This window comes from Homo sapiens, chromosome 3 (genome assembly GCF_000001405.40).
Source record: "Homo sapiens chromosome 3, GRCh38.p14 Primary Assembly".
NCBI lineage: Eukaryota > Metazoa > Chordata > Mammalia > Primates > Hominidae > Homo > Homo sapiens.
The window spans coordinates 197,631,526-197,659,391 of record NC_000003.12 but is presented as its reverse complement, the minus strand read 5'-3'; the positions used below and the strand labels follow the sequence as shown (position 1 = coordinate 197,659,391).

The 27,866-nt window shown below is 52.4% G+C and overlaps 1 protein-coding gene and 2 pseudogenes across 2 annotated transcripts, besides 3 other annotated features; 2 read left to right on the top strand and 1 right to left on the bottom strand.

Moving 5' to 3' along the window:
• Window positions 1-1,118: 1,118 nt before the first annotated feature.
• LOC112268458 (keratinocyte proline-rich protein) lies at window positions 1,119-27,866 on the top strand. Its single transcript, XM_047449440.1, has 7 exons — window positions 1,119-1,682; window positions 1,821-2,038; window positions 4,355-5,270; window positions 8,055-8,252; window positions 8,979-9,023; window positions 9,756-9,853; window positions 23,585-27,866. Exons 1-6 carry the CDS (start codon window positions 1,119-1,121, stop codon window positions 9,768-9,770), a joined length of 1,956 nt encoding a protein of 651 aa, XP_047305396.1. The 3' UTR covers window positions 9,771-9,853; window positions 23,585-27,866.
• Window positions 2,908-3,108: a silencer, noted in NCBI's record as "peak4995 fragment used in MPRA reporter construct". NCBI's record gives its function as "represses an SCP1 promoter by STARR-seq MPRAs in K562 erythroleukemia cells {active_cell/tissue: K562}" and the evidence as "EXISTENCE:reporter gene assay evidence [ECO:0000049][PMID:32103011]".
• Window positions 3,590-3,639: a silencer, noted in NCBI's record as "silent region_15089". NCBI's record gives its function as "represses an Ori minimal core promoter by ATAC-STARR-seq in GM12878 lymphoblastoid cells {active_cell/tissue: GM12878}" and the evidence as "EXISTENCE:reporter gene assay evidence [ECO:0000049][PMID:35858748]".
• Window positions 4,998-5,671: an enhancer, noted in NCBI's record as "H3K27ac hESC enhancer chr3:197380592-197381265 (GRCh37/hg19 assembly coordinates)". NCBI's record gives its function as "activates a minimal SCP1, AML or CMV promoter by ChIP-STARR-seq in primed H9 embryonic stem cells {active_cell/tissue: H9 hESC(primed)}" and the evidence as "EXISTENCE:reporter gene assay evidence [ECO:0000049][PMID:30033119]".
• Window positions 18,941-27,866, top strand: LOC124909481 (uncharacterized; annotated as a pseudogene). The gene has a single exon (XR_007096243.1). The product of XR_007096243.1 is annotated as an uncharacterized LOC124909481 (transcript).
• Window positions 24,965-25,305, bottom strand: PPP4R2P4 (PPP4R2 pseudogene 4; annotated as a pseudogene).

The following is a 27,866-nucleotide window of genomic DNA, read 5'->3' as shown; positions in this document are numbered from 1 at the left end:
AGGTGAACACCAGGTGGCCCAGCCTCAGCCACCCCAGTGATGATGTGTGAGGTTTCAGAACGGCTGTGCTGCCCTGTTAGGAGCTATACACGCAGAAAGGCAACTCCGCCAGCGTCAGGGGTGCCGGATGCATGCAGGATCAGAAGGCGTCGGATTTCCCAGGGAAGCTGGGGAGCAAGGATCCTGCACCAAGGGAGGCAGGAGGCCGGAGACCAGCCCAGGCCCAGTCCAGGAGGAGCCTGGCCAGGAGTCCCACCAAAGCCACTGGAGCCTCCGTGACCCAGCCCTGGAGGGTCAGCACTGTCCCTCAAACGGATTCTTCACACACAGGTCTCTCTGTCTGTGGGGGCTGCAGGGCCAGTGCCTGAGGAGCCCGGACTTCACACACGGGTCTCTCTGTCTGTGGGGGCTGCAGGGCCGGTGCCCGGGGAGCCCGGACTTCACACACGGGTCTCTCTGTCTGTGGGGGCTGCAGGGCTGGTGCCTGAGGATCCCGGACTTCACACACGGGTCTCTCTGTCTGTGGGGGCTGCAGGGCCGGTGCCCAGGGAGCCCGGACTGCCGGAAACCTTTGGGGTGGGAGGCTGCAGATGGGACTTCTTGGCCTGTGTTTATGTGGAGCCCAGGCTGCGGGCACCACAGCCAGGCACAGGTCAGGGGTAAGTTGTGGGTGATGTAAGGACTAGAAGCGTAAGTAATGGCCTGACCCCCATGTCCTGGCTGTGCTGTGCGGTGGGAAAGACATGGGCTCCGGCGGCTGCTGGGGATCGCCTGGCTTGCACCTGCTGGGTCCCCCCCTGGCCACCAGCCTCACCCAAGGGCAGTTGGTGACTGCCTGCCTCACTCCTGCCAACCCTCAGGGGCCTAGGAGTCCTGCGTGGTGGGTCTAGGAACCATGCTGGAGGACAGGCCTGTGCCAGGGCCACCAGGATGTCTATGGCAGGAGCCGGTGCTGGCGAACCCCACACCTTGAGCCCCAGAGCCAGGATCCTCAGCCCAGGAAAGGGACCAGAGGCGGGAAAACCACACGGCAAAGGCTGTCCCGTGAGGTCACGGCTCCGTCACCGCTGCCCACACACGGAAGGCAGCCGCGGCTGGGTGAAGCCATCTTCACAGACATGCCGTCCTTGAGGCTCTCACACATGCACACAGACGCTCCGTCCTCTCCCACCCGCCCCCCCGCCACCCCGGGCAGGCCAGGAAGTCCCATCTGGGGCCTCCCACCCCGAGGGTTGCCGTCAGTCCGTGTGCCCAGGCATCGGGGCCTGCAGCCTCCACAGACAGCGAGACCTGTGTGCGAAGCAGACTCTGTCCTAGGGACAGTGCTGACCCTACAAGGCTGGGTCACTGGAGGCTCCCCGGGTCCAGTGGCTTTGGTGGGACTCCTGGCCAGGCTCCTCCTGGGCCGGGCTGGTCTCCGGCCTCCTGCCTCCCTTGGTGGAGCACCCTTGCTCCCCAGCACCTCCCAGGTTCACACAGCTCCTCCCTGGGGCTGCGCACTGACCCAGGGGCAGGAGGTGGGCCATCCTCTCGGTGGACTGAAGACCTTGTCCGAAGGGAAAGCAGGGCCGGCCCAAGGCCTGGCTGGAAGAGTGGGTCTTGGTGGCAAAGGCGGCCCGTGGGGGGAGCCCACGCGAATGCTTCCCCGGCGCCCTGAGCCCCTGACCGCGGCTGAGCCTGCGGTACTCTGGCCCCTCTCATGGAAAGATGACCTGGGTCTACCATGCTCAGTATCACCCAAAAATTCCTACAGAAGTCTCTCGGGACAAGAAAAGGCCTTCTTCCCTCCCTCCTCCTTTCCTCTTCCTTTCTTTCATCAGGGAACAGCTTCCGGCTGCCTGCACTGTTTGGGCGCCGTCATAAGGAGCCGTGACGGCCTTCACGGAGCTCCGGGGCTCACGGGTGTGGCTGACCTGCCACAAATGGGGCGACAGAGGAGAGGGAGGGTCGGGCACCGATGGCTCAGGAGGGAAGAGATCCCTTCTGTATGGGGAGACGGGGGCTTCCTGGAGGGCACTGGAGCGAGGGGCTCACCAGAGTGAGACATCCAAGGGATCTCGGGGACCGGCCATGGGACACTGTGGTCCCACGTGGCTCCTGGATGTGCTGTGTGTTTGCTGAGGTGGAGGGGATGGGGAAACCATGTGTGGGAGAGGGAGAGGCCATGCACGCCCTGAGTCGGGCTTTACAAAAACCTTCTGGGGGCAGCAGGAGAGGAGCCACGCAGAGGCAGAGCCAGGCAGAGGCGGTGGGGTAGTGAGGGGGATGTCGGGGTGCACGGGTTAGGAGACCCCCGAGCCCTGGGACCTGCATGCTGATAGTCAAGGTTGCAGAGGCGGCTGCTGTGGTGACCACAGGGCAGGGAGAGGCAGTGGGGTAGTGAGGGAATGTCGGGGTGCACAGCACCAGACCCTCCCAGATCTTCTGATTCAGTCCTAGGGGGACCCTACCCCAGATCTTCCAATTCAGTCCTGGTTCAGCCTGAGAATTTGCATTTTTAACATGTCCAGGGACCACAGTTTGAAAACCTCCACGGCTGACATGTAATGGGATGACATGGTCCAATAAATGAAGGAAAAATAACAGGTGGCAACCTCAAGCAGCTTCATCCCAACCAGTAAGAAAGTAAATCCTTTTGTAAACTAAGAGGAAGTATTAATATGGGTGTTTGAGCAAACATTTAAGTGTTAGAACAAAGAATTAAAAACTAGCACAGGCACCCCTGAAGCATGATAGGATGGCAACAGAAGGGCTGATTTAGTTTCCAAGAAATAACTGACAGGCAGTGTTGTGCGTGTGTCTACTACTTAGGAACCCAAAACAAACCTTCAGACCGTTTTCATGAGTACTGAGACCAAGAAAACCACTGGGCAGTGGGTGGTCTGGAAATGTAAATGTTGATGGTACTCCAGTAATGAGTCATGGAACAATGTTTCATATTGAAAATGTTTTTGTAAATGTGGGTTTCAAGGTTTCAAAGTGAACCTGTATGTGTTAGGAGAAAGGACACACCAAAGAAGTAAAATAATTGGGTCAATAGAAAAAGAAAGTAGAATACTGCCCAGAGAGAAGATGTGGATAATTCCTAACACGGATCAAAGGCACCAAAAAGGTGAGCTGTGGGTAAGATATTCAGACCTGCACCGTCCCCTGCATTAGACACAGACAACATCTTGGTAGGCAACTGGGTGAAAATTCAGAGACAACCCTAGGAACTATGAGGATGAAAAAAGTTAGCATTCATGGAATGAGGCACTGACGAAACTGAAAAGCTGGAATAACCCCATGAAATAACGAGAATAATTGTAGTATTCTGAACCGGGGCACAGGACACAGGACTGGAGTGGAAGGCCGCATGAGACCACCCCGGGAAAGACCCAGGGATCACACTGGCCCAAAGGTGGGCACTTCCCAACTCCGGGATTTGTGCTACAGGCACTCCAGGCTCCACCATAGAACTGTGTCCAGCACGAAGGCAGTGCTGTCTTGCGGGAGGCAGGGCTGCACCACCACAGGGGCGGGAAGGGGCCCGGCAGGGAGGCGCCCAGTGTTTCCAACTGCACGGGGTCGGGGACCGCGCTGATGCAGAGCGCGGGGGCGCAGGTTAAACCTAAAGGAGGGAAGCTTTTGGGGGCGGAACAGACAACGGAGAACGCTGCACACTGCCCTTCCCACCCGAATTGTGCTTTGCCTTTTTTTTTTTTTTTTTTTTTTTTTTTTTGAGACGGAGTTTTGCTCTTGTTGCCCAGGCCTGGAGTGCAATGGCCTGATCTCGGCTCACTGCAACCTCCGCCTCCCGGGTTCAAGCAATTCTCCTGCCTCAGCGTCCCGAGTAGCTGGGATTACAGGCGTGCGCCACCACGCCCGGCTAATTTTGTATTTTTAGTAGATACTGGGTTTCTCCATATTGGCCAGGTTGGTCTCGAACTCCTGACTTCAGGTGATCCACCGGCCTCGGCCTCCCAAAGTGCTGGGATTACACGCGTCAGCCACCGCACCCGGCCTGCTTGCTTTTTTTTTTTTTTTTGCAGAGTCTCGCTGTCCACCGGGCTGGAGCTGCAGTGATCTCGGCTCCCTGCGGCCTCGACCTCCCGGGCTCAGGCGATCCTCCCGCCTCAGCCCACGGAGTACATGGGACCACAGGAGGCCACCACGCCCGACTACTTGCTGTAATTTTTGTAGGGATGGGGTCTAGCCCCGCTGCCCAGGCTGGTCCGCACTGCTGGGCTCAAGAGCTCCGCCCGCCTCCGCCTCACAAAGCGCAGGGATCCCAGGTGTGAGCTACCGCGCCCCGCCCAGAGTTTCCGACTGTTAGCGTGAATCACATTCACGTCAAAACTTCTTTTTATACAAGAACTAAAAGGCAAACGAAATCCCTGCTCCATCACTGCCTGTCCCGGGTCGCGGCGCGGGACATTTCCTCCAAGCGCCTTCCCGGCCCCGCGCGCAGGTGGCCTGCGCCGGAGGATCCCGGACAACGCGCATTTCCTGCGCCCCCGGAAGCGGCGGTAACGCCTGGCCCTGCCCCCGGCAGAGGCGGAAGCACAGTCGCTCTGAGGTCGCCCGTGGCCGCAGGTGCCTCAGCCCAGCCGCGCGCCTTGGCCCTTGGCCGCCTACTCCTACCGCCCCGGCCTTGGGCGGCCCTGGGCCTGCTGCGGGCGCGGCGCTGCCCGACCAGAGCTTCCTGTGGAACGTCTTCCAGAGCTGCCACCTGGCACCGCCCCGGCACCTCCCGCCTCCCCCGCAGCTGCCCCGGACCCGTGTCCCGACCCCCGCGGCCAACCCCGTTCCCTGCCGGTTGCCCCGCGGCCTCCCCCGTCACCTGCCGGGTCCCCAGCGGCCTCCCCCGTCCCCTGCCCCGACCTCCGCCGTCTCCCCCGCCCCTGCCCGGACCCCCGCGGGCGCCCCCGAACCCTACCCCGACCGACGCGGCCGCCCCCATCCCCTGCCCCGACCCCCGCGGCCGCCCCCATCCCCTTCCGGGTCCCCCGCGGTCTCCCCCGTCCGCTGCCCGGTCTCCTGGGGCCGCCCCTGCCTCCTGCCCGGTCCCTGTCCTGTGCGTCGGGCCCTTCCCAAGGTGCAGAGGGCGCCACTGCAGACCCGAGGTCGCGGCCACCGGCTCCTGGGCCAGGCCCTGTTTCTCGCCTCGAGCCGTCGGGGGAGGGTCTCCAGGGTGCTTGTTTGGGGAAAGCGGAAACAGACTGTCTGGGCCGCTGTTAAAATGTCAGCAGCCAAGGAAGAAGCAGCGACCTGGCGTCTGCTCGGGCCAGGTGACCTTTATGGCGGCGCCTTCTGTCCCTGGTCGCTTTTCCACTGAATGAATGACCGAAACTGTAGTAACTCATGGCCAGGGAATGGCTTAGTTATCTGAGGGAATCTTGTCTTGTCTGTGAAAAAGGGAAACTGGTGCAAATGGGAATTCAGACAGGTCAGGAGGGGAAGGAAGGGAAGGATTGAGGTGGGAAAAGAGAGAGAAAGATGATTGGCCTCTTAGGGGAAGAACACACTTGGACGTGGCTCCTGGGGCACTTCCTTGATTCCGCTGTACTCGTCAGCGGGACCGGAGAGGCGGAGGTTCCAGGAGGGAGCCTTCCAGAGTCGGTGCAGGGTTGACAGGAGACGTTTGTTTTGCTTTTCCTGAACTTTCGATCGCCAGCTTGTTTGGTCTTCTTGATGTTATAGGGTTGATAGAGAGGAGTGGAGTGATATCGGACACCCAGCTTCGGCAAGCTCTCTCCAAGGGTGAGTGGGCCAGTGGGACCTGGGTCTCCGGACCAAGAAGCCGCGAGCCTGCCCTGCTCACAGTGGATAACTTTCTTTCTGAAGTTGATTTTCCAAGGACAAAGGAATCATTAGGGCAAATTATTATTACTGCTTCATGGTGGAGATGCTTCTGGTTTATTCTGTGGCTACCGCTGTTACTGCTTGGAGTGCCTCACCGAGCCAGCTAACAACGGCGTGCGTGAGCACAGGGAAAGGCTTCTTGAGAAATGAAAACTAGGTTGTAGGTTTAGGAGGGGAATAGGAAGGTTAGCTCTGTCCAGCCGAAAGCCTTTTGGTAAGTTGGGGGTCCTTGAATTTCCTGGGTGACTGCATCTTGGTGACTTCTCTGAATAGACCTTCGAGGGCACTGGGGGGTGATTGTTGGAGGGCTTGGGGAGCTCAGGCAGCACTTGTGTGGGAACGTGGCTGTTACAGGAACTGCAGAAACTGGGACTGGGTTCCTGGGGAAAGGATTGGGGGTGTTGGAGGCGCTGGCAGGGGAGTTATGGGGAGGCGTTCTTATCAGTGTGCGAATATTGGGCGTTCAGGCAGCGGGAAATCCGGGTCCTTGCGTGTTGTGAGCTCCCTGGAGTTACGTTCTTGCCAGTTTCAGCTCAATTGATCCCCCTCCCCTGAGCTATCATTGGATACATTTTACTTCATTGAACACCTGACTGCTGCTTTTTCTGTAATCCCTCAGGGGCAGTCATCTTTTCTGATTCTGTGTGTAGTTTGCCTTTCCAGATCCGTGCCATTTAAGCTAGAAAAGGGGTCAGTTTTGAGATGTTGTGAAAATGTTGAAAGGCTCCTCGTTATTAGTGGGAAGTATCTGATGTTGCCAGAGACTGAACTGGGGCGCGGGGAGCACTACGGCTGCTAGACACTGCCTCACTGCGCTGTGGGTGGGGGAGGTGCTGGATTCAGTCTTACTGCCTAATGATTTGTGAGGATTTGTGTTTTCAGAGTAACATGTTTACCTTATGTTATCAGTTCCTAATATGTGACGTATGGGCCACAGATGCTGGTGTATTATTTCACATGCATTTATATAGATTGTTTTCAGGGAATTCAGAAATTCTGTTATCTCTACACTAGTGATTGTGCTTTCTTGATTTTTCTCTTTTCATTATTCTTAAATCCTCCCTTTTTTAATTTGCATCTCAGTTCGTTTATACTCGGGAAGTGCAAGACATGGCTACTAGAAAGAGATGTCAAGAGAACCGGAATCCAGTAGGCTACAATTTGGCAAATCTTAGCTTAAAACTTCCTAAATGTTGACCACAGTGGATGCAAATGGCTCTGTGCATCGTCTGTTCAATATGGTCAGGTGACCACCCAGGTTCACGTGGTTTGTCACCAGGGTGACACGAGCCACACGGAGTGCCCTCCTCAGAGGCCATGTCTCAGAGACGTTTATTTTGAGTGGTTTTCCAGCGAGTGATGCAAGATTTATGATCCATTTTAACAGCTGCTTTTTATGCATTTGCTCAAATTTTTAGATTTTAAGTTTAGTTTTAGGTTTTCTGTTAAACTTGCTCAACTAGGAGTGGTGGTCAAATACTGGACCTCATTAGCATGGTAGCCTGCCCTCCTTGGCAGGCTCCACTGGAGTGCCTTGGGGCCTGCCTGGATTCCAGTCCTGGCTCTACCAGTTTTGTGTCCTCGCCGTTACTGGGAGGGAGTATTGAGGAAATGCATGCGAGGTGCTTCCGTGATTCCTGGCACAGAGCAAGTGCTCAGTAATTGTCAGCTGTGAGTATTAGTAGTAGCTAATACACTACTACTATTCTTGGCTAACAAGCCAGCTCAAAGCTTTGATAGTTTTCCATTACCTGATGATGGTGATGATGGTTTCCACTTCCTGAACACTCACACCCCTGGGCTAGGCACTTAACCCAAATCCAAGGTCAGCGTTATTGTTTGGGGGTGGGGGAGACACCTCCTGCTCTGACTCGTGTGTTTGGGTTCCCGTATTTTCACCAGAGGGTGTTAGTTCTGCCCAAGTTCAGCTGGTCCTCAAAGTGTATATAGCTCTTTAACCATCAGCAAGTGTCAGTCAGAACATAATCTTGATTTCAGCTGCTACTAAATATCTACCAGGAGCCTGCTTGAGAGAGAGAATTGCCTGACAGGTGCTGAGTCCACCATTCCTGAGACACTTTGAAATCAGTGTCTGACTTAACCCAAGCTGTGTATGGGGACCCTCTCACCGTGGTCCCAATGGAGTCGCTTTTGTTAGGCGCCCCCCTTTACCTTGGGCTCTGAGCTTCCTCTGCCTTTCATCTCTGCAGGATGAAGCCCCACCCGCTGTACAGGATGCAAAGCCCTCCTCTATAAAGTGCGTGCGGGGCCAGATGCAGTGGCTCACGTCTGACCTCCCAACACTTTGGGAGGCCGAGGCAGGGGCATCGTTTGAGACCAGCCTGGACAACATTGTGAGACCCTGTTCCTTGAATTGCCCTGGGAGATTTCCTCAGCTTGTACTGGAGGTGTGTGGCCCCATGAAGCCCATAGTCACCGTTCACCCTGAGAGACGCTGGCTTTGGGGCTCACATGCCTGCTGCGGGGCAGCCCCAGGAGATGGCCACCCTGTTTCTCCTGGAGCTGGAGCTGCGCGTGTTCTCAGCAACTGTGGTGGCTGTCCTGTTTTGTTTGCATCTTATAAACCTTTACCTGATTACATTTTCCTCTTCAATTTAGCTGCTAGAAAACTTAAAGTCAGATTGGTGGCTCACCAGTAATGAGAGTTTAGAGTAGAGGTAAACTTTATGACATAGTCTTAGACTCTTCACTTTCTCCTCAGCCAACATGATTCACATTTACTTTATTTTGCTGTACTGTGAGTGTCTTTGTGTTTCCTGAATTCCTTCTGGAATAAGGCAGGTTGTTAGTAAGCACAGGTTTCTGGTCCATCTCATAGCCTCAGGCAGTGGGCGGTGCTGTCCGTGCTCCCTTTCTGGGTTACCTGTGGTAGCTCTGAAGTTGCAGGGCTGCGATTTGAAGCCTGATTTAGTACACCGTGTTTCTGTTGTGTTCTGTGGTGGTTTGCTCCTCACATGTGAGCATTCACCCTGTGGCCCTGTGTTTTTCCACCACACCTCTGCCTGGTGGCATCCTACTGGATGTCTCAGCCGAGCCACTCTGTTCTGAAGACGCCCTTGTCCTCCACCCCTTTGCTTTGGGCTCTGAGCTTCTTCTGCCTTTCATCTCTGTAGGATGAAGCCCCACCCGCCCTTCAGGATGCCAGCCTTGGCAACATTGTGAGACCCTGTTTCTACAAAAAGTAAACGTGTAGTGGTGCACGCCTGTAGTTCTAGCTACTTGGGAGGCTGAGATGGGAAGATCACTTCAGCCTGGGAGGTTGAGGCTGCATTGAGCTGAGATCAAGCCACGGCACTCCAGCCTGGGAGACAGAGCGAAACCCCATCTCAAAAAAACAAAGAAAGTGGATGCACGCTGCTCCTGCCATTGGATCATCGCAGCATTTTTCTTTTCTCTGATATGCGCCTTTTTCCTCATCGTGGGGGCTCATGTTTTTGTACTTTCCTCTCGCTACTAGATTGTGAGCTGCGTGAAGGAAGGTTCATAGTTGTGTTGTATGTACAGGCACACAAAATTTGTCCTTGGATAGACACATATCAATCCGCTTCCTTCTCCTCTCTGAAGTTCTTTATTTAAAAAAAAAAATTAGAGATGGAGTCTCACTGTCTTGCCCAGGCTGGTCTCAAACTCCTAGGCTCAAGCGATCCTCCCGCCTCTACTAATATGAATTATTAGCCTATACTAATATGAATTCCTATACTAATATGATTGAAATTAGTTTGACTTGTATAATAATTGTTCTCCCAGATTGGCCTTCTGTTTTGATAGTAGAACTAAATTATTAGGCTATTTCAAGAAATTAATATATTACTGGTAGAAAAACTGAAGCTACAAAATGGCCTGGTTTCTCACTTCAGTTAAATTTGTGCTTCTGAGTGCTTGTATTGTAGGTGAAACCGCACTGAGAAGGTATTTGTGGCCCGTATGCTGATTGATTGATGAGACTTCTTTGCACAGGAGAGCTGCTAAAAATTACTGCGGTGAACAGGTATGAAGAAGACTGTTCTCTGCCCTTCTTTTTGCAATAAAATGTTACAAACTATCTTGAGATTGATCCCTTTTCGGGTGTTTGGGTTTTTTTTAACATTCACATATTTCTTGGAATTATAAGAAATTAACTTTGTGCTTCTGAAGTGGGTTTCCCTTAATATAACACTGATGTATTTGTAAGGGGCATTTTTAAAGTTGTACTTTAAAAAATAATAATTCTTACATTCGTTTGAAGGTTTTTTGTTTGTTTGTTTGTTTGTTTTTGAGATGAAGGCTTGCCCTGTCACCCAGGCTGGAGTGCAGTGGCATTGATCTTGGCTCACTGCAACCTCTGCATCTGGAGTTCAAGCAATTCTCCTGCCTCAGCCTCCTGAGTAGCTGGGACTACAGGCACCTGCCACCACGCCCAGCTAATTTTTTGTATTTTTAGTAGAGACGGGGTTTCACCGTGTTAGCCAGGATGGTCTCAATCTCCTGACCTCGTGATCCACCCACCTCAGCCTCCAAAAGTGCTGGGATTACAGGCGTGAGCCAGGGGGCCAACATGGTGAAACTCTATCTCTACTAAAAATACAAAATTAGCCGGGAATGGTGGTGTGTGCCTGTAATCCCAGCTACTCGGGAGGCTGAGGCATGAGAATCACTTGAACCTGGGAGGCAGAGGTTGCAGTGAGCTGAGATTGCGCCACTGCACTGCAGCCTGGGGGACAGTGAGACTCCATCTCAAAAAAAAAGAATAGAATAACTCTTGTTTAGGTGTTACAGAATCCAGGCCAGACAAATCTAAACTTTAATCTCATACCCAGTTCCTAGATGAGTCCCTTCTCCAGCTCAGGCTCGGCCTAAGCCTCAGGGTTCCTTACTTGGTGGGCACCACCTGCTCCCTTCCCCGCCTTTGTTCCTCTTTTTCCTCTGCTGGCTCCTCCGGGGTTGGGTGTGTTCAGAGGCAGAGACAGGCTCAAGGTCTTTGGCTTTTAGGTTCTGTTGATGGGTGAGTTCCAGATATAGCTTTCTTTTGTAGGATATTTCATTTATTTATCTATTAAAAATATTTATTTAGAACACACCATTCATGTGCCAGACCCTGTTCCAGGCACTGGGGAGAGGGTGATAAATGAGATCAACAAAAATACCTGCCCACATTAAGCTCCTGTTCTAGGGAAGACAAAAAAGAAAGAAAATACACGTGTCCTTAGTACATTAGAAGGTTCCAAGTACTGTAGAGAAAAATAAAGTAGGTTGGACTCGGTGGCTCATGCCTGTAATCCCAGCACTTTGGGAGGCTGAGGTGGGAGGATTACTTGAGCTCAGGAATTTGAGACCAGCCTGGGCAACATGGCAAATCCTGTCTCTACAAAAAAAAAAAAAAAAAATTAGCTGGGTATGGTGGCGTGCACCTGTAGTCCCAGCCACTGGGGAGGCTGAGGAGGGAGAATTGCTTCAGCCCAGGAGGTGAAGGTTGCAGTAAGCTGAGATCGTGCCATTGCACTCCAGCCTGAGTGACACAGCCAGACCCTGTCTCAAAAACAAGGAAAGAAAGAAAATGAAAAAAAGAAAGCAGAGATGGGGCAAGCAGGGGAGAGGGCTGGTGATGGGGTCACAGCGGAGGGGCTGGGGATGCACGGGAGGGGCTGGGGATGTGAGCTTTCCTGAGTTCCCACAGTTCTCTGCCCCTCTCCTGTCTCATGGCACAAGGGCCCCCTGGGGCTTGCGGTGGTTTTGCGCCAAGCTAATATCTTGTTCTTCCCAACAGACGGAGGCCCATTGAGGCTTCTGTGTCCTCCACGGGGACCAGCATTGGGCTAAACCTGCAGACACCATTGCAAAGGGAATTCAGGCAAACCTGCTGGTGAAGAATGATTCCAGCGTGGGGACAGAGGCTGACATTTCTTGCCTGGGTGATTTAATGTTGGGCCTCAATTTTTCACTCCCCCCGTAAGAGTATGACATAGCCACAACCTTTCCAGGGCCCGAGGGAGGGTGGATGGACTTATCCATCCCATAGGTGTTGCTCGTGGCTGGGTGACTTGCTTCTGCCAACGAGATTTTCACAGACACGGCACAAGCAGAAGCCTGGAATGTGTGGGCACTGCCAGGCCTGCCCTCTAAGGTTCTTGATTTTCCCCATGAGATGCACGTGCCCCAGGGAACGGCCGCTCTGGCTGTGGGATGAGAGGCATGTGGAGCAGGCATGGTTCCCATGCTTAGCCTGGAGTCAAGGCCAGACTAGATCAGCCTAAGCCCAGCCACGCCATGGGTGCAGGAGTGAAGAGCAAATGCTAACTGTCCATGGAATTGACTTTCAAAGGGGCGTGTCATGTGCCTCATCCCAGCAACAGGGAAGGCATTTCTCTATCAGTCAGTTGGTAAATGATTATTGACAAACAATGTGCTGGGAAGGTGGAGTGATTTGAGTAGATTTGGCCTCTATTCTCATGGAGCTTCCTTTCTAGAGGGGAAGGCAGATGATGGATGGATAAATATAAATGATTCTAATAGGTTGGTGCAGCAGTCATTAAAAGTGATGGCAAAAAAAAAAAAAAAAGAAACGGGGAGGAGCCGTTGCTGCAGTTCATTAATAGTAATGGCAAAACCCGCGATGACTTGTGCGCCAACCTAACCCAGTAACCACGGGTGTGCAAATGTGGCGATGGGCAAGTTCCGAGTGCTAGGAGAGCATCTAGCTTCCCGGAGTCAGGAGACGGGGGTTGGCAACCTAACCAAGGTTAAGTCCAAGTGAGGGGGGTGGGCAGGGAGCGATATTTCAGTGGAGACTCCAAGGATGAATGGTATTTAGAGAGTAAACCCCGATAGAGGGTTTGTGTCTGGCACAGAGAAGAGCCTGTGCAAAAGCTGGTGGGGCGAGAGGACACCGTGTGTTCATCCACCTGACGGGCGACCAGCAGGCTGGAGCTCAGCGGGTTGAGAGGAGGATGCAGAACCCGGGAAAGGCACCCTAGGCAGAGGGCACAGAAGCGCAAAGGCCTGGAGTCAGGCCTGAGCCTGTGTGGTTTGAGGAACGGACAGAGGCCTGTCCGTCAGGAAGGGAACGGCACAGGGGAGAGACCTTAGGCCACAGCAGAGGGCAGGGCAGAGGGCAGGGCCGTGCTGGGCAGTGTGGGCTGTGGATGGTGCTGGCATTTAAGAGGGGAGACCATAGACCAGGGCAAAGGGCAGGGCCGTGCTGGGCACTTTGGGCTGTGGATGGGAGCTGGCATTTATGCTCAGGTGATGGGAATGTGTTAAAAGATTTTAAGGAGGGGAGTAACAGTTGGGATTAATGTGTATTCTGGGAATCTCAACAAAGTAAATTCATAGTTTGAATTTTCATAAGACTTCTGCACAGGCAGAGAGAAATAAGATCGTGTCTACAGCTGTGTGATGATTTTATTGAAAAACATTACTAAGTTTTTAAACGTGATTTCAAATGGTGTGTTTCTGTTTCACCTTGGACATAAGTAGATTGCAAGGCTAATGGAAAGTAGAAAAGTTAACTCATGAACATAAAAGAGATATCAATTTGAAAACAAAACATTTATTCATTTACTTCCGCTGCAGATTTCTTGACTGCTGAATTTCATGAGAAGGGATTGTTCAGGGAGGGACGTGGGGCTGAAGACCTGGAGAGGAGGTGGTGCTACCGCTGTTCAAATCTGAGGGTGGTGGAGATGGAGCCTTGGGGAGGAGCAGGTGCTGCCTTTTAAGTCTATGAGAGTCGTTGAGCTGGAGGTCCAGGGAGGAGCCGGTGCTCCCACTGATGTCTTAGGTTGTGGAGCTGAAGACAACGAAGGAGCCAGTGTGGCTGTTCTGTGAGACTCGTGGAGCTGGAGATCCAGGTGGGAGAGGTGTTTTAGCTCGGGGAAGAGCTGATGTTCTACCTTGAGGGTCCTGCAGCTGCAGACCTGGGGAGGAGCTAATGTTCTAGTTTGAGTGTCATGCAGCTGCAGACCCGGGGAGGAGCTGATGTTCTAGTTTGAGTGTCATGCAGCTGCAGACCTGGAGAGGAGCTGATGTTCTAGATTGAGGGTCGTGCAGCTGCAGACCCGGGGAGGAGCTGATGTTCTAGATTGAGGGTCGTGCAGCTGCAGACCTGGAGAGGAGCTGATGTTCTAGATTGAGGGTCGTGCAGCTGCAGACCCGGGGAGGAGCTGATGTTCTAGATTGAGGGTCGTGCAGCTGCAGACCTGGAGAGGAGCTGATGTTCTAGTTTGAGGGTCATGCAGCTGAAGACCCGGGGAGGAGCTGATGTTCTAGTTTGAGGGTCATGCAGCTGCAGACCCGGAGAGGAGCTGATGTTCTAGATTGAGGGTCGTGCAGCTGCAGACCTGGAGAGGAGCTGATGTTCTAGATTGAGGGTCGTGCACCTGCAGACCCGGAGAGGAGCTGATGTTCTAGATTGAGTGTCGTGCACCTGCAAACCCGGGGAGGAGCTGATGTTCTCATTTGAGGGTCGTGCAGATGCAGACCCGGAGAGGAGCTGATGTTCTAGATTGAGGGTCGTGCAGCTGCAGACCTGGAGAGGAGCTGATGTTCTAGTTTGAGGGTCATGCAGCTGAAGACCCGGGGAGGAGCTGATGTTCTAGTTTGAGGGTCATGCAGCTGCAGACCCGGAGAGGAGCTGATGTTCTAGATTGAGGGTCGTGCAGCTGCAGACCTGGAGAGGAGCTGATGTTCTAGATTGAGGGTCATGCAGCTGAAGACCCGGGGAGGAGCTGATGTTCTAGTTTGAGGGTCATGCAGCTGCAGACCCGGAGAGGAGCTGATGTTCTAGATTGAGGGTCGTGCAGCTGCAGACCTGGAGAGGAGCTGATGTTCTAGATTGAGGGTCATGCAGCTGAAGACCCGGGGAGGAGCTGATGTTCTAGTTTGAGGGTCATGCAGCTGCAGACCCGGAGAGGAGCTGATGTTCTAGATTGAGGGTCGTGCAGCTGCAGACCTGGAGAGGAGCTGATGTTCTAGTTTGAGGGTCATGCAGCTGAAGACCCGGGGAGGAGCTGATGTTCTAGATTGAGGGTCGTGCAGCTGCAGACCTGGAGAGGAGCTGATGTTCTAGTTTGAGGGTCGTGCAGCTGAAGACCCGGGGAGGAGCTGATGTTCTAGATTGAGGGTCGTGCAGCTGCAGACCTGGAGAGGAGCTGATGTTCTAGTTTGAGGGTCATGCAGCTGAAGACCCGGGGAGGAGCTGATGTTCTAGATTGAGGGTCGTGCAGCTGCAGACCCGGAGAGGAGCTGATGTTCTAGATTGAGGGTCGTGCAGCTGCAGACCCGGAGAGGAGCTGATGTTCTAGATTGAGGGTCTTGCAGCTGCAGACCTGGAGAGGAGCTGATGTTCTAGATTGAGGGTCGTGCAGCTGCAGACCCGGGGAGGAGCTGATGTTCTAGTTTGAGGGTCTTGCAGCTGAAGACTTGGGGAGGAGCTGATGTTGTTGCATTGAGGGTCTTTCAGTTGGAGACTCAGGGAGGAGCTGATGTTCTAGAATTAGGGTGATAGAACTGGAGACCTGGAGAGAAGGTAATGTTCTAGTTTTAGGTTCTTGCAGCTGCAGACCTGGAGAGGAGCTGATGTTCTAGATTGAGGGTTGTGCACCTGCAGACCCGGGGAGGAGCTGATGTTCTAGTTTGAGGGTCTCCCAGCTGCAGACCTGGAGAGGAGCTGATGTTCTAGTTTGAGTGTCGTGCAGCTGCAGACCTGGAGAGGAGCTGATGTTCTAGTTTGAGGGTCATGCAGCTGAAGACCCGGGGAGGAGCTGATGTTCTAGATTGAGGGTCGTGCAGCTGCAGACCTGGAGAGGAGCTGATGTTCTAGTTTGAGGGTCATGCAGCTGAAGACCCGGGGAGGAGCTGATGTTCTAGATTGAGGGTCGTGCAGCTGCAGACCTGGAGAGGAGCTGATGTTCTAGTTTGAGGGTCGTGCAGCTGAAGACCCGGGGAGGAGCTGATGTTCTAGTTTGAGTGTCATGCAGCTGCAGACCCGGAGAGGAGCTGATGTTCTAGATTGAGGGTCGTGCAGCTGCAGACCTGGAGAGGAGCTGATGTTCTAGTTTGAGGGTCATGCAGCTGAAGACCCGGGGAGGAGCTGATGTTCTAGATTGAGGGTCGTGCAGCTGCAGACCTGGAGAGGAGCTGATGTTCTAGTTTGAGGGTCATGCAGCTGAAGACCCGGGGAGGCGCTGATGTTCTAGATTGAGGGTCGTGCAGCTGCAGACCTGGAGAGGAGCGATGTTCTAGATTGAGGGTCATGCAGCTGCAGACCCGGAGAGGAGCTGATGTTCTAGATTGAGGGTCTTGCAGCTGCAGACCTGGAGAGGAGCTGATGTTCTAGATTAAGGGTCTTGCAGCTGCAGACCCGGGGAGGAGCTGATGTTCTAGTTTGAGGGTCTTGCAGCTGAAGACTTGGGGAGGAGCTGATGTTGTTGCGTTGAGGGTCTTTCAGTTGGAGACTCAGGGAGGAGCTGATGTTCTAGAATTAGGGTGATAGAACTGGAGACATGGAGAGAAGGTAATGTTCTAGTTTTAGGTTCTTGCAGCTGCAGACCTGGAGAGGAGCTGATGTTCTAGATTGAGGGTCTTGCACCTGCAGACCCGGGGAGGAGCTGATGTTCTAGATTGAGTGTCATGCAGCTGCAGACCCGGAGAGGAGCTGATGTTCTAGTTTGAGGGTCGTGCAGCTGCAGACCTGGAGAGGAGCTGATATTCTAGTTTGAGGGTCATGCAGCTGAAGACCCGGGGAGGAGCTGATGTTCTAGTTTGAGTGTCATGCAGCTGCAGACCCGGAGAGGAGCTGATGTTCTAGATTGAGGGTCGTGCAGCTGCAGACCTGGAGAGGAGCTGATGTTCTAGTTTGAGGGTCATGCAGCTGAAGACCCGGGGAGGAGCTGATGTTCTAGATTGAGGGTCGTGCAGCTGCAGACCTGGAGAGGAGCTGATGTTCTAGTTTGAGGGTCATGCAGCTGAAGACCCGGGGAGGAGCTGATGTTCTAGATTGAGGGTCATGCAGCTGCAGACCCGGAGAGGAGCTGATGTTCTAGATTGAGGGTCATGCAGCTGCAGACCCGGAGAGGAGCTGATGTTCTAGATTGAGGGTCATGCAGCTGCAGACCCGGAGAGGAGCTGATGTTCTAGATTGAGGGTCGTGCAGCTGCAGACCCGGAGAGGAGCTGATGTTCTAGTTTGAGGGTCATGCAGCTGAAGACCCGGGGAGGAGCTGATGTTCTAGATTGAGGGTCGTGCAGCTGCAGACCTGGAGAGGAGCTGATATTCTAGATTGAGGGTCATGCAGCTGCAGACCCGGAGAGGAGCTGATGTTCTAGATTGAGGGTCTTGCAGCTGCAGACCTGGAGAGGAGCTGATGTTCTAGATTGAGGGTCTTGCAGCTGCAGACCCGGGGAGGAGCTGATGTTCTAGTTTGAGGGTCTTGCAGCTGAAGACTTGGGGAGGAGCTGATGTTGTTGCATTGAGGGTCTTTCAGTTGGAGACTCAGGGAGGAGCTGATGTTCTAGAATTAGGGTGATAGAACTGGAGACCTGGAGAGAAGGTAATGTTCTAGTTTTAGGTTCTTGCAGCTGCAGACCTGGAGAGGAGCTGATGTTCTAGATTGAGGGTCTTGCACCTGCAGACCCGGGGAGGAGCTGATGTTCTAGTTTGAGGGTCTCCCAGCTGCAGACCTGGAGAGGAGCTGATGTTCTAGTTTGAGTGTCGTGCAGCTGCAGACCCGGGGAGGAGCTGATGTTCTAGTTTGAGGGTCGTGCAGCTGGAGACCTGGAGAGGAGCTAATGTTCTAGTTTGAGGTTCTTGCAGCTGCAGACCTGGAGAGGAGCTGATGTTCTAGATTGAGGGTCGTGCAGCTTCACACTTGGAGAGGAGCTGATGTTCTAGTTTGAGGGTCGTGCAGCTGCAGACCTGTAGAGGAGCTGATGTTCTAGATTGAGGGTCGTGCAGCTGAAGACTTGGGGAGGAGCTTTAGTTGTTCGCGTTGAGGGTCTTTCAGTTGGAGACTCGGAGGAGCTGATGTTCTAGATTTAGGGTCACGGAACTGGAGACCTGGACAGAAGTTGATGTTCTAGTTTGAGTGTCTAGCAGCTGCAGATCCGGAGAGGAGCTGATGTTCTAGTTTGAGGGTCTTGCAACTGCAGACCTGTAGAGGAGCTGATGTTCTAGATTGAGGGTCGTGCAGCTGCAGACCTGGGGAGGAGCTGATGTTCTAGACTGAGGGTCGTGCAGCTGCAGACCTGGAGAGGAGCTGATGTTCTAGATTGAGAGTCCTGCAGCTGAAGACTCGGGGTGGAGCTGATGTTGTAGTTTGAGGGTCATGCAGTTGAGGACTTCGGGAGGAGCTGATGTTGTTCGTGTTGAGGGTCTTTCAGCTGGAGACTCAGGGAGGAGCTGACAATCTTGACTGAGGTTCATGGAGCTGGAGACTCAGGCAGGAGCTGATGTTCTAGCTAGTGGATCTTCCAGCTGCAGACCAAGAGAGGAGCTGATGTTCTAATTTTAGGTTCTTGCAGCTGCAGACCTGGAGAGGAGCTGATGTTCTAGATAGAGGGTCATGCAGCTGAAGACTCGGGGAGGAGCTGATGTTGTAGTTCGAGGGTCATGCAGTTGAGGACTTTGGGAGGAGCTGATGTTGTTCGTGTTGAGGGTCTTTCAGCTGGGGACTCAGGGAGGAGCTGATAATCTTGATTAAGGGTCATGGAGCTGGAGACCCAGACAGGAGCTGATGTTCTAGTTAGTGGATCTTCCAGCTGCAGAGTCAGAGAGGAGCTGATGTTCTAGATTGAGGGTCATGCAGCTGAAGACCCGGGGAGGAGCTGATGTTCTAGATTGAGGGTCGTGGAGCTGCAGACCTGGAGAGGAGCTGATGTTCTAGTTTGAGGGTCGTGCAGCTGGAGACCTGGAGAGGAGCTAATGTTCTAGTTTGAGGTTCTTGCAGCTGCAGACCTGGAGAGGAGCTGATGTTCTAGATTGAGGGTCGTGCAGCTGCACACTTGGAGAGGAGCTGATGTTCTAGATTGATGGTCTTGCAGCTGCAGACCTGGAGAGGAGCTGATGTTCTAGTTTGAGGATCTTGCAGCTGCAGACCCGGAGAGGAGCTGATGTTCTACTTTGAGGGTCGTGCAGCTGGAGACCTGGAGAGGAGCTGATGTTCTAGTTTGAGGGTCATGCAGATGAAGACTCGGGGAGGAACTGATGTTCTAGTTTGAGGGTCTTGCAGCTGCAGACCTGGAGAGGAGCTGATGTTGTAGTTTGATGGTCTTGCAGCTGCAAACCTGGAGAGGAGCTGATGTTCTAGATTGAGGGTCGTGCAGCTGAAGACTCGGGGAGGAGCTGATGTTCTAGATTAAGGGTCATGCAGCTGAAGACTCAGGGAGGAGCTGAGGTTCTAGTTTGAGGGTCGTGCAGCTGAAGACTCGGGAGGAGCTGAGATTCTAGTTTGAGGGTCGTGCAGCAGAAGACTCAGGGAGGAGCTGATGTTCTAGATTGAGGGCCCTACAGCTGCAGACCTGAAGAGGAGCTGATGTTCGAGATTGAGGGTCGTGCAGCTGAATACTTGGAGAGGAGCTGATGTTATAGTTTGAGGGCCCTACAGCTGAAGACCCGGAGAGTATCTGATCTTCGAGATTGAGGGTCGTGCAGCTGAAGACTCCGGGAGGAGCTGAGGTGGTAATTTGAGGGTCTTGCAGCTGCTGACTTGGGGAGGAGCTGATGTTCTAGTTTGAGGGCCCTACAGTTGGAAATCTGTACAGGAGCTGATGTTCTAGTTTGAGGGTCATGCAGGCGAAGAATCGGGGAGGAGCTGATATTCTAGTTTGAGGGCCCTGCAGCTAGAGATGCAGACAGGAGCTGATGTTGTAGTTTGAGGGTCGTACAGCTGAAGATTCAGGGAGGAGCTGTTCGTGTATTTTTAGGGTCATGCAGCTGCAGACCCGGAGAGGAGCTGATGTTAAAGATTGAGGGTCATGCAGCTGAAGACTCTGGGAGGAGCTGACGTTCTAATTTGAGGTCACTACAGGTGGACACCGAGAGAGGAGCTTATGTTCTAGATTGAGGGTCATGCAGCAGAAGACTCGGGGAAGAGCTGAGGTTGTAGTTTGAGGGTCATGCAGCTGGAGAACCAGACAGGAGCTGATGTTCTAGATTGAGCGTCGTGCAGCTGAAGACTTGGGGAGGAGCTGATGTTGTTCGTTTTGAGGGTGTTTCAGCTGGAGACTCAGGGAGGAGCTGACGTTCTAGATTGAGGGTCTTGCAGCTGCAGACCTGTAGAGGAACTGATGTTCTAGATTGAGGGTCACGCAGCTGAAGACTTGGGGAGAAGCTGATGTTCTAACTTGAGGGTCGTGCAGCTGAGGACTCGGGGAGGAGCTGATGTTGACAGCTGTGCAGCTGGAGATCCGGCGGGGAGCTGATGTTCCGGTTTGAGGGCCGGGGAGCTGATGTTCCAGTTTGATGGCCGTGCAGCTGGAGACCCAGGGAGGAACATCAAACTGGAACATCTGCTCCCCGCAGTGCCTCCAGCTGCATGGCTCCCAAACTGGAACATCGGTTCCCACCCGGGTCTCCAGCTGCACGGCCCTCAAACTGCAACATCGGCTACCCCCGAGTCTCCAGCTGCACGGGCCTCAAACTGGAACATCAGCTCCCCACCGGGTCTCCAGCTTCACGGCCCTCAAACTGGAACTTCAGCTCCCCACCGGGTATCCAGCTGCATGGCCCTCAAACTGGAAGTTCAGCTCCCCATCGGGTCTCCAGCTGCACGGCCCTCAGACTGGAACATCAGCTCCCCACCGGGTCTCCAGCTGCATGGCCCTCAAACTGGAACATCAGCTCCCCACCGGGTCTCCAGCTTCACGGCCCTCAAACTGGAACTTCAGCTCCCCACCGGGTCTCCAGCTTCACGGCCCTCAAACTGGAACTTCAGCTCCCCACCGGGTATCCAGCTGCATGGCCCTCAAACTGGAAGTTCAGCTCCCCACCGGGTCTCCAGCTGCACGGCCCTCAGACTGGAACATCAGCTCCCCGCCGGGTCTCCAGCTGCACGACCCTCAAACTGGAATAGTTTGAACTCAGCGGGGAGCTGATGTTCCAGTTTGAGGGCCGTGCAGCTGGAGACCCGGCAGGGAGCTGATGTTCCGGTTGTAGGGCTGTGCAGCCGGAGACCCAGGGGGAAGCTGATGTTCCAGTTGTAGGGCCGTGCTACTGGAGACCCAGGGGTGGAGCTGATGTTCCAGTTTGAGGGCCATGCAGTTGATGACCCGGCGGGGAGCTGATGTTCAAGTTTGAGGTCTGTGCAGCTGGAGACCCGCGGGGGAGCTGATGTTCCAGTTTGATGGCCATGCAGCTGGAGGCTCTGATGGGAGCTGATGTTGCAATTTGAGGGCCATGCAGCTGGAGACCTGGCAGGGAGCTGATGTTCCAGTTTGAGGGCCGTGCAGCTGGAGACCCGGCAGGGAACTGATGTTCCAGTTTGAGGGCCATGCATCTGGAGACCTGGGCGGGGAGCTGATGTTCCAGTTTAAGGCCATGCAGCTGTATGCCCGGGGGGAACTGATGTTGCAGTTTGAGGGCCATGCATCTGGAGACCCGGTGGGGAGCCAGTGTTGCAGGTTGAGGGCCGTGCAGCTGGAGACCCTGTGGGGAGCTGATGTTCCTGTTTGAGAGCCGTGCAGCTGGAGATCCTGTGGGGAGCTGATGTTCCTGTTTGAGAGCCGTGCAGCTGGAGATCTGGTGGGGAGCTGATGTTCCTGTTTGAGAGCCGTGCAGCTGGAGATCCTGTGGGGAGCTGATGTTCCTGTTTGAGAGCCGTGCAGCTGGAGATCTGGTGGGGAGCTGATGTTCCAGTATGAGGGCCGTGCAGCTGGAGACCTGGTGGGGAGCTGATGTTCCAGTTTGAGGGCCGTGCAGCTGGATACCCGGCAGGGAGCTGATGTTCCAGTTTGAGGGCCGTGCACCTGGAGACCCGGCAGGGAGCTGATGTTCCAGTTTGAGGGCTGTGCAGCTGGATACCGGGGGTGGAGCTGATGTTCCAGTTTGAGGGCCATGCATCTGGAGACCCAGTGGGTAGCCAGTGTTGCAGGTTGAGGGCTGTGGAGCTGGAGACCCGGGTTGGGGGGAGCTGATGTTCCAGGTTGAGGGCCATGCTGCTGGAGATCCAGCGGGGAGCTGATGTTGCAGTTTGAGGCGGTGCAGCTGGACATGCAGGGGGGAAGTGATGTTGCAATTTGAGGGCTGTGCAGCTGGAGACCCTGTGGGGAGCTGATGTTCCTGTTTGAGGGTTTCGGAGCTGATGTTCCAGTTTAAGGCCATGCAGCTGGAGACCCGGTGGGGAGCCGATGTTCCAGTTTGAGGGCCATGCATCTGGAGACCCGGTGGGGAGCTGATGTTGCAGGTTGAGGGCCGTTCATCTGGAGACCCAGTGGGGAGCTGATGTTGCAGGTTGAGGGCTGTGCACCTGGAGCCCCGGGGTGGAGCTGATATTCCAGTTTGAGGGCCGTGCAGCTGGCAATCTGGTGGGGAGCTGATGTTCCAGTTTGAGGGCCATGCAGCTGGAGACCCGGCAGGGAGCTCATGTTCCAGTTTGCAGGCAGTGCAGCTGGAGACCCGGCGGGGAGCTGATGTTCCAGTTTGAGGTCCGTGCAGCTGGAGATCTGGTGGGGAGCTGATGTTCCAGTTTGAGGGCCCTGCAGCTGGAGACCCATGGGGATCTGATGTTCCAGTTTGAGGGTGGTGCTGCTGGCGACCCAGGCGGGAGCTGATGTTCTAGTTTTAGGGCCCTGCAGCTGGAGACCCGGGGAGGAGCTGACGTTCCCATTCGAGGGCTGTGCAGGTGGAGACCTGGGGAGGAGCTGATGTTGTTCTAATTTGAGTGTGGTGCAGCTGGAGATCCAGGGATGAGATGGCCCTGCAGTTCAAATATGAGGGTCCCGGAGCTGGACTCTACGTGAGGAACCAATGCTGCCTCTGATGTCTTAGGTTGTGGAGCTGGAAACTCGTGGAGGAGCTGGTATTGGTGTTTCTAGTTGAGGGTTGTGGTATTTCCAGGGTTTCACAAAGGCCAGATTTTATTTCAGTTACTGAGAAGAGAAAGAAAATGTCTTCTGAAAGAGGTGAACTCAGTCATTACCAATAGAAAAAGTATCCACTGTATTTATCTCTTATACAAACAGAAAAATATAACATTTTCCCCCTTAGAATAATATATATATATATATAAAACTTAAGGTTCTATTGTATGTATCCGAACAACAAAATCTGGAAACCAGCATGAAACTCTATTATTCACATGTTAAAATGTTGAAACTATGACCAAAATATGAAAACTGCTGGAGCTATCAGAAAGACACAAGACAAAAAGCTTCTTGCATATGTATAAACTAAATGTGATAATCTCAAAAAACTGTTCAAAATTATAATTACTTTCCAGTTTAAAAACTTTAATCCTAAATTAAAAAAAAAAAATCTATACACAAACCACTGATTTGCCCAGAGCAAAGAAAGAAAGAAAGAAAGAAAGAAAGAAAGAAAGAGAAATCAGCGGTAAGGTAAGCAGGACCCAGAGGAGCTGATATTCACAGTTCTTACATGTACAACTCTTTCAGGAATTATCCATAAAGTACTTTATTTTACAACCTGCTTTACTTGTAAAACTAAAGGTGCACTTTTTTACATAAAAGTTTTATACAGTGTTAAAACCAGAACTGTGTGTAAAATACTGCATGTAAATGTTTCTAAATAGTCTTGTTCCAGTGGTTCATCGGTGACTTCTGTGGCTTCGTCATCATTATCCATGGATGATTCTGAAAGAATCTCTCCAGTTTTACTGGAATTGGATCCTACTAATTCTTCTGTTTCACGGCAGTCAGAAGAACCACTACTTTCAGGGCCTTCGTTTTCACTACCTTCAGAATGTAGTAAATCTTTCTCAGCTTGAGACACATCAGATTCCTCCATTTCATTATTTTCCTCAGAAGTCTCTTCATTCACAGTTGAGGCATCATCAGATTCTTTTTCTTGGTTTTTTCTTTCTGGGACCATTTCTCTTGATGTCATAAAAGACTCTAAAAATAAGCAAATGTTGTTGTACTTAAATTTTATATTCAAAATACCTCCACAGTTAAGTTTTGTGAATTCTGATGTTCTGTAGTTCAAATCACATCCCCTGAAATTCAGCAGCAACTGCATACAGGTGGGAGAAAAGCCCAGCGTCGACATTACAAGGAGTTCCATGATGTACAATTCTTTCACGAAAACAATGAATGCAAGAATTTGAGGATCTCCTTACTCCTCCCTTTTACAGATGGTCTCTCAATCCCTTCTTCTTCCTCTTCATCTTCATCTTCTTCTGAACGCGCTGCCGGGTACCACGGCTTTCTTTGTCTTTATCGTGAGATGAAGGTGATGCTTCTGTTTCTTCTACCATAACTGAAGAAATTTCGCTGCAAGTCTCTTGACTGGCTGTTTCTCCGACTTCGCCTTTTTGTCAAACGTGAGTCTTTTTACCTCATGCCCCTCAGCTTCCACAGCATCTTCATCTGGATGTTTATTTCTCAAAGGGCTCACTGAGGAAACTTCTGATTCAGATGTCGAAGAGTCACTGTGAGTTTTCTCTTCATTTTGCTGCAAATTTGCCTCTTTGCTGTCTGTGCTCTCAGGCCACCCATTTGTTGTCATGGGGGCTGACAGAGAAACCTTTGGTCGATTACGTGGCCTGGGTGTCCCAGGCCCATTTATATTAGACCTCTCAGTATAGCTTGGTGCATTTCCAGGAAACATCACACCATTCATTCGATTTAAACTATTGGAATTGTTTTTCTCTGAAGAAGGATAAACACAGCTAACAACCATCACGTTCTTTTCTACTCCTCTGAGAAATTTGTCTGTTCCTGTATAGTTTCTCCTTGGATCTGTTAACAATTCACATAGTCGCTGAATAGTAAAAGGGATACGGTTAAATCCAGTGACAGTTTTCAGTATTCTTCCCTTTGTTTCATCAAAGGGAATATATTCGACTTTAGGGTTGGGAGGACCTCTTGGCGCAGGAGCTGAAGTTCTGAAATCATCTATCACTTTCTCCAGTTTGAAAATAAAATAGCCTTTAAATTGGGACCACTGAATCTGTTTCTCCAGTCTTGGCTACATGACAAAGGAACTGATCCAGGACAGGACAGACTTTCTTTTTTGCCTCTTCTCAAAATCTTCCAGCGCCTCCTGGAGCCTGTCGACGTCCATGGCTTCCCAGAGTCCCTCACAGCCTCCGTCTCCCTCCGCGGGTCTCTTGGGGACCGGAACGCCTCCCCCCACCCCCCGACATCCTCCCACTCCCTCGCACACCCTCCAGCACGCAGGCCAAGTGGGGTGGGGGGGAACGAAGGGAGCCAGGGGAAGCGTGTGAGAGAGTGAGACCGACAGAGTGAGCACCTCCCCAAGCCGCTACCACCAGCCCTCCAACATGGCGCCTGGCACATCACCCTAAAAAGTCATTTCTTGGAGAAGCGATGGATGACAGAGATTAATCTGAGAGTTACTATTAATGGAGAAACTTAGAACTTACCATTTTTCCTGTGAGGTTTCGGTGCTGATACTTCTATTCTGTGAGTTCTGGCAATTGTGTCCGTTCACCCAGCCTGGTGATGCAGCAGGTGTCACAGAAGGACCCTGTCCCAGCTGGTCCTGCTCCACTGCTAGGATGGTGTGGCCTCTGATCTGTGACCGTGTCTTGAGGGGAGACCAGGCCCTTGATCACAAGCGTATCCATGGTGAGGTTCCGTGGATGGAAGCTCATGGATGTTCCTTCCTGATGTTCATCTGCCACCATGCTATTGAATGCATCTTGTTTATAACTGTCTTCTAAATATTGAATAGAAATAAAGCATTTGTACAGTATGGTTAAGGTATAAAGAATATTGACACATTGGACACAGAGGACCTCCACCAAGTTTAGGGAGTAGAATCTGAAGAGACATAGCTTTGGATGCTCCCTGGAGGCCCTGCCTGAGTCCCAGTCCCTTCCCTTCTCCTACGGAGGGAATCATTTCCTGCTTTAGTCTTTATTATTTGCACACTTTCCTTCATAGTATGTTTCTTTCACCGTGTGTGTACATCCCTAAAAGATATGCCATTTAGTTTTTGAACTTTCTGTTTTCTTTTTGAGGCAGGGTCTTGCTCTGTTGCCTCGGCTGTAGTTTTGAACTTTGACGTGAGGGAATTCTCCTGCGTGGCTGCTCCTGCACTGCATGGCTCTGAGCACCTGCTCTGTGTCTATTTTTGTCCTCCATTCTCTCCCTGAGACCCACCCACACTGACATGGCTCATTTTCATTGCTGCATGGTCTCCCGTCGTCTGAGGGGAGCATGGGAAATGTCTTCATCTTCCCGTGGATGAGTGTTTGGCCAGGTTGGGGCCCTTAGGACTGTGTTTTGTTGGGAACGTTCTTGGGCATTTCTTTTGTACACAGCGCAAGTTTCTTCTGGTCAGTAGCTTTCAAATTTTAAAATTTCATCCCAGGTAAAAATGTAATTTTCCTCATAACCCACAACACACACTCTTTCATATACAAGCATAGCAGAAATATACTTCACAAGCGTTAGCAGTGCCTGTTGTTCCTGCTTCTCTCCATTCTCCCCAACGCTGGCATGGATTGGGTTGTGGGATTTTTGCCCGTCTGGTGGTTGTCACGTGATATCTCCCCCTGTTAGGCTGAGCCCCTCTTCATGTTTTCATTAGCCATTCCTCCACATTTCCTCTTCTGTGGAGGGCCGGTTCAGCTCTTTTGCCCAGTTTCTGTTAAGTTGTTTGAATTTTTGCACTTTTCCTTTATTATTCCTATTACTATGTTTTTGAGACAGAATATCACTCTGTCACCCAGGCTGGATGTGATCTCAGCTCACTGCAACCTCCATCTTCTGGGTTCAAATGATTCTCCTGCCTCAGCCTCCCAAGTGGCTGGGATTACAGGCACACACCACCATGCCCAGCTAATTTTTATATGTTTACTACAGATGGGTTTTCACTATGTTGTCCAGGCTGGTCTGAAACTCCTGACCTCAGGTGATTCTCCCACCTCAGCCTCCCAAAGTGCTGGGATTATGTGGGTGGCAAGCCACCCAGGCACCGAGGCAAGAGACAGAGGACACGAGCTGTTCCAGTATAATAAAATATAAAACAAGAATAGTTATGCCAGATATAGATCTTAGATATGATTATATATGAATATCATTAATCATTAGTTTGTAGCAATTGCTTTTTATTCCAATATTATGATAATCCTCGCTCTATAATCATAGTGTAGGAAAAACCAGGCCATACAGAGATAGGAGCTGAGGGGACATAGTGAGGTGTGACCAGAAGACAAGAGTGCGAGCCTTCTGTTATGCCCGGACCGGGCCACCAGAGGGCTCCTTGGTCTAGCGGTGATGCCAGCGTCTGGGAAGATGCCTGTTACCAGGCGGATCGTGGTCCAGCAGTAGCAAAAGGTGTCAAGGAACAACACCCGATACTTAGCAGACCAGGAAAGGGCGGGGGGGGGGGGGGTCTCCCTTTCCCCGGGGGAGTTTAGAGAAGACTCTGCTCCTCCACCTCTTGTGGAGGGCCTGACATCAGTCAGGCTCGCCTGCAGTTATCCGGAGGCCTAACCGTCTCCCTGTGATGCTGTGCTTCAGTGGTCACGCTCCTAGTCCGCCTTCATGTTTCATCCTGTACACCTGGCTCTGCCTTCTAGATAGCAGTAGTAAATTAGTAAAAATACTAATAGTCCCTGATATGCGGAAATAATGGCATAAGCTGTCTTTCTCTCTGTCTCCTCTCCCTCTCTGCCTCGGCTGCCAGGCAGGGAAGGGCCCCCTGTCCAGTGGACACGTGACCCACGTGACCTTACCTATCATTGGAGGTGACTCACATTCTTTACCCTGCCCCTTCTGCCTTGTATCCAATAAATAACAGCGCAGCCAGACATTCGGGGCACTACTGTTCTCCGCGCATTGGTGGTAGTGGTCCCCCAGGCCCAGCTGCCCTTTCTCTTA

Excerpts from the sequence above, each read along its gene's own strand:
- LOC112268458 (XM_047449440.1), top strand. The coding sequence starts at position 1,119 with ATGCCGTCCTTGAGGCTCTCACACATGCACACAGACGCTCCGTCCTCT. Across the intron at positions 1,683-1,820 it reads TGACCGCGGCTGAGCCTGCG|GGAACAGCTTCCGGCTGCCT; the intron begins GTACTCTGGCCC and ends TTCTTTCATCAG. Across the intron at positions 2,039-4,354 it reads GGAGCGAGGGGCTCACCAGA|AACTAAAAGGCAAACGAAAT; the intron begins GTGAGACATCCA and ends TTTTTATACAAG.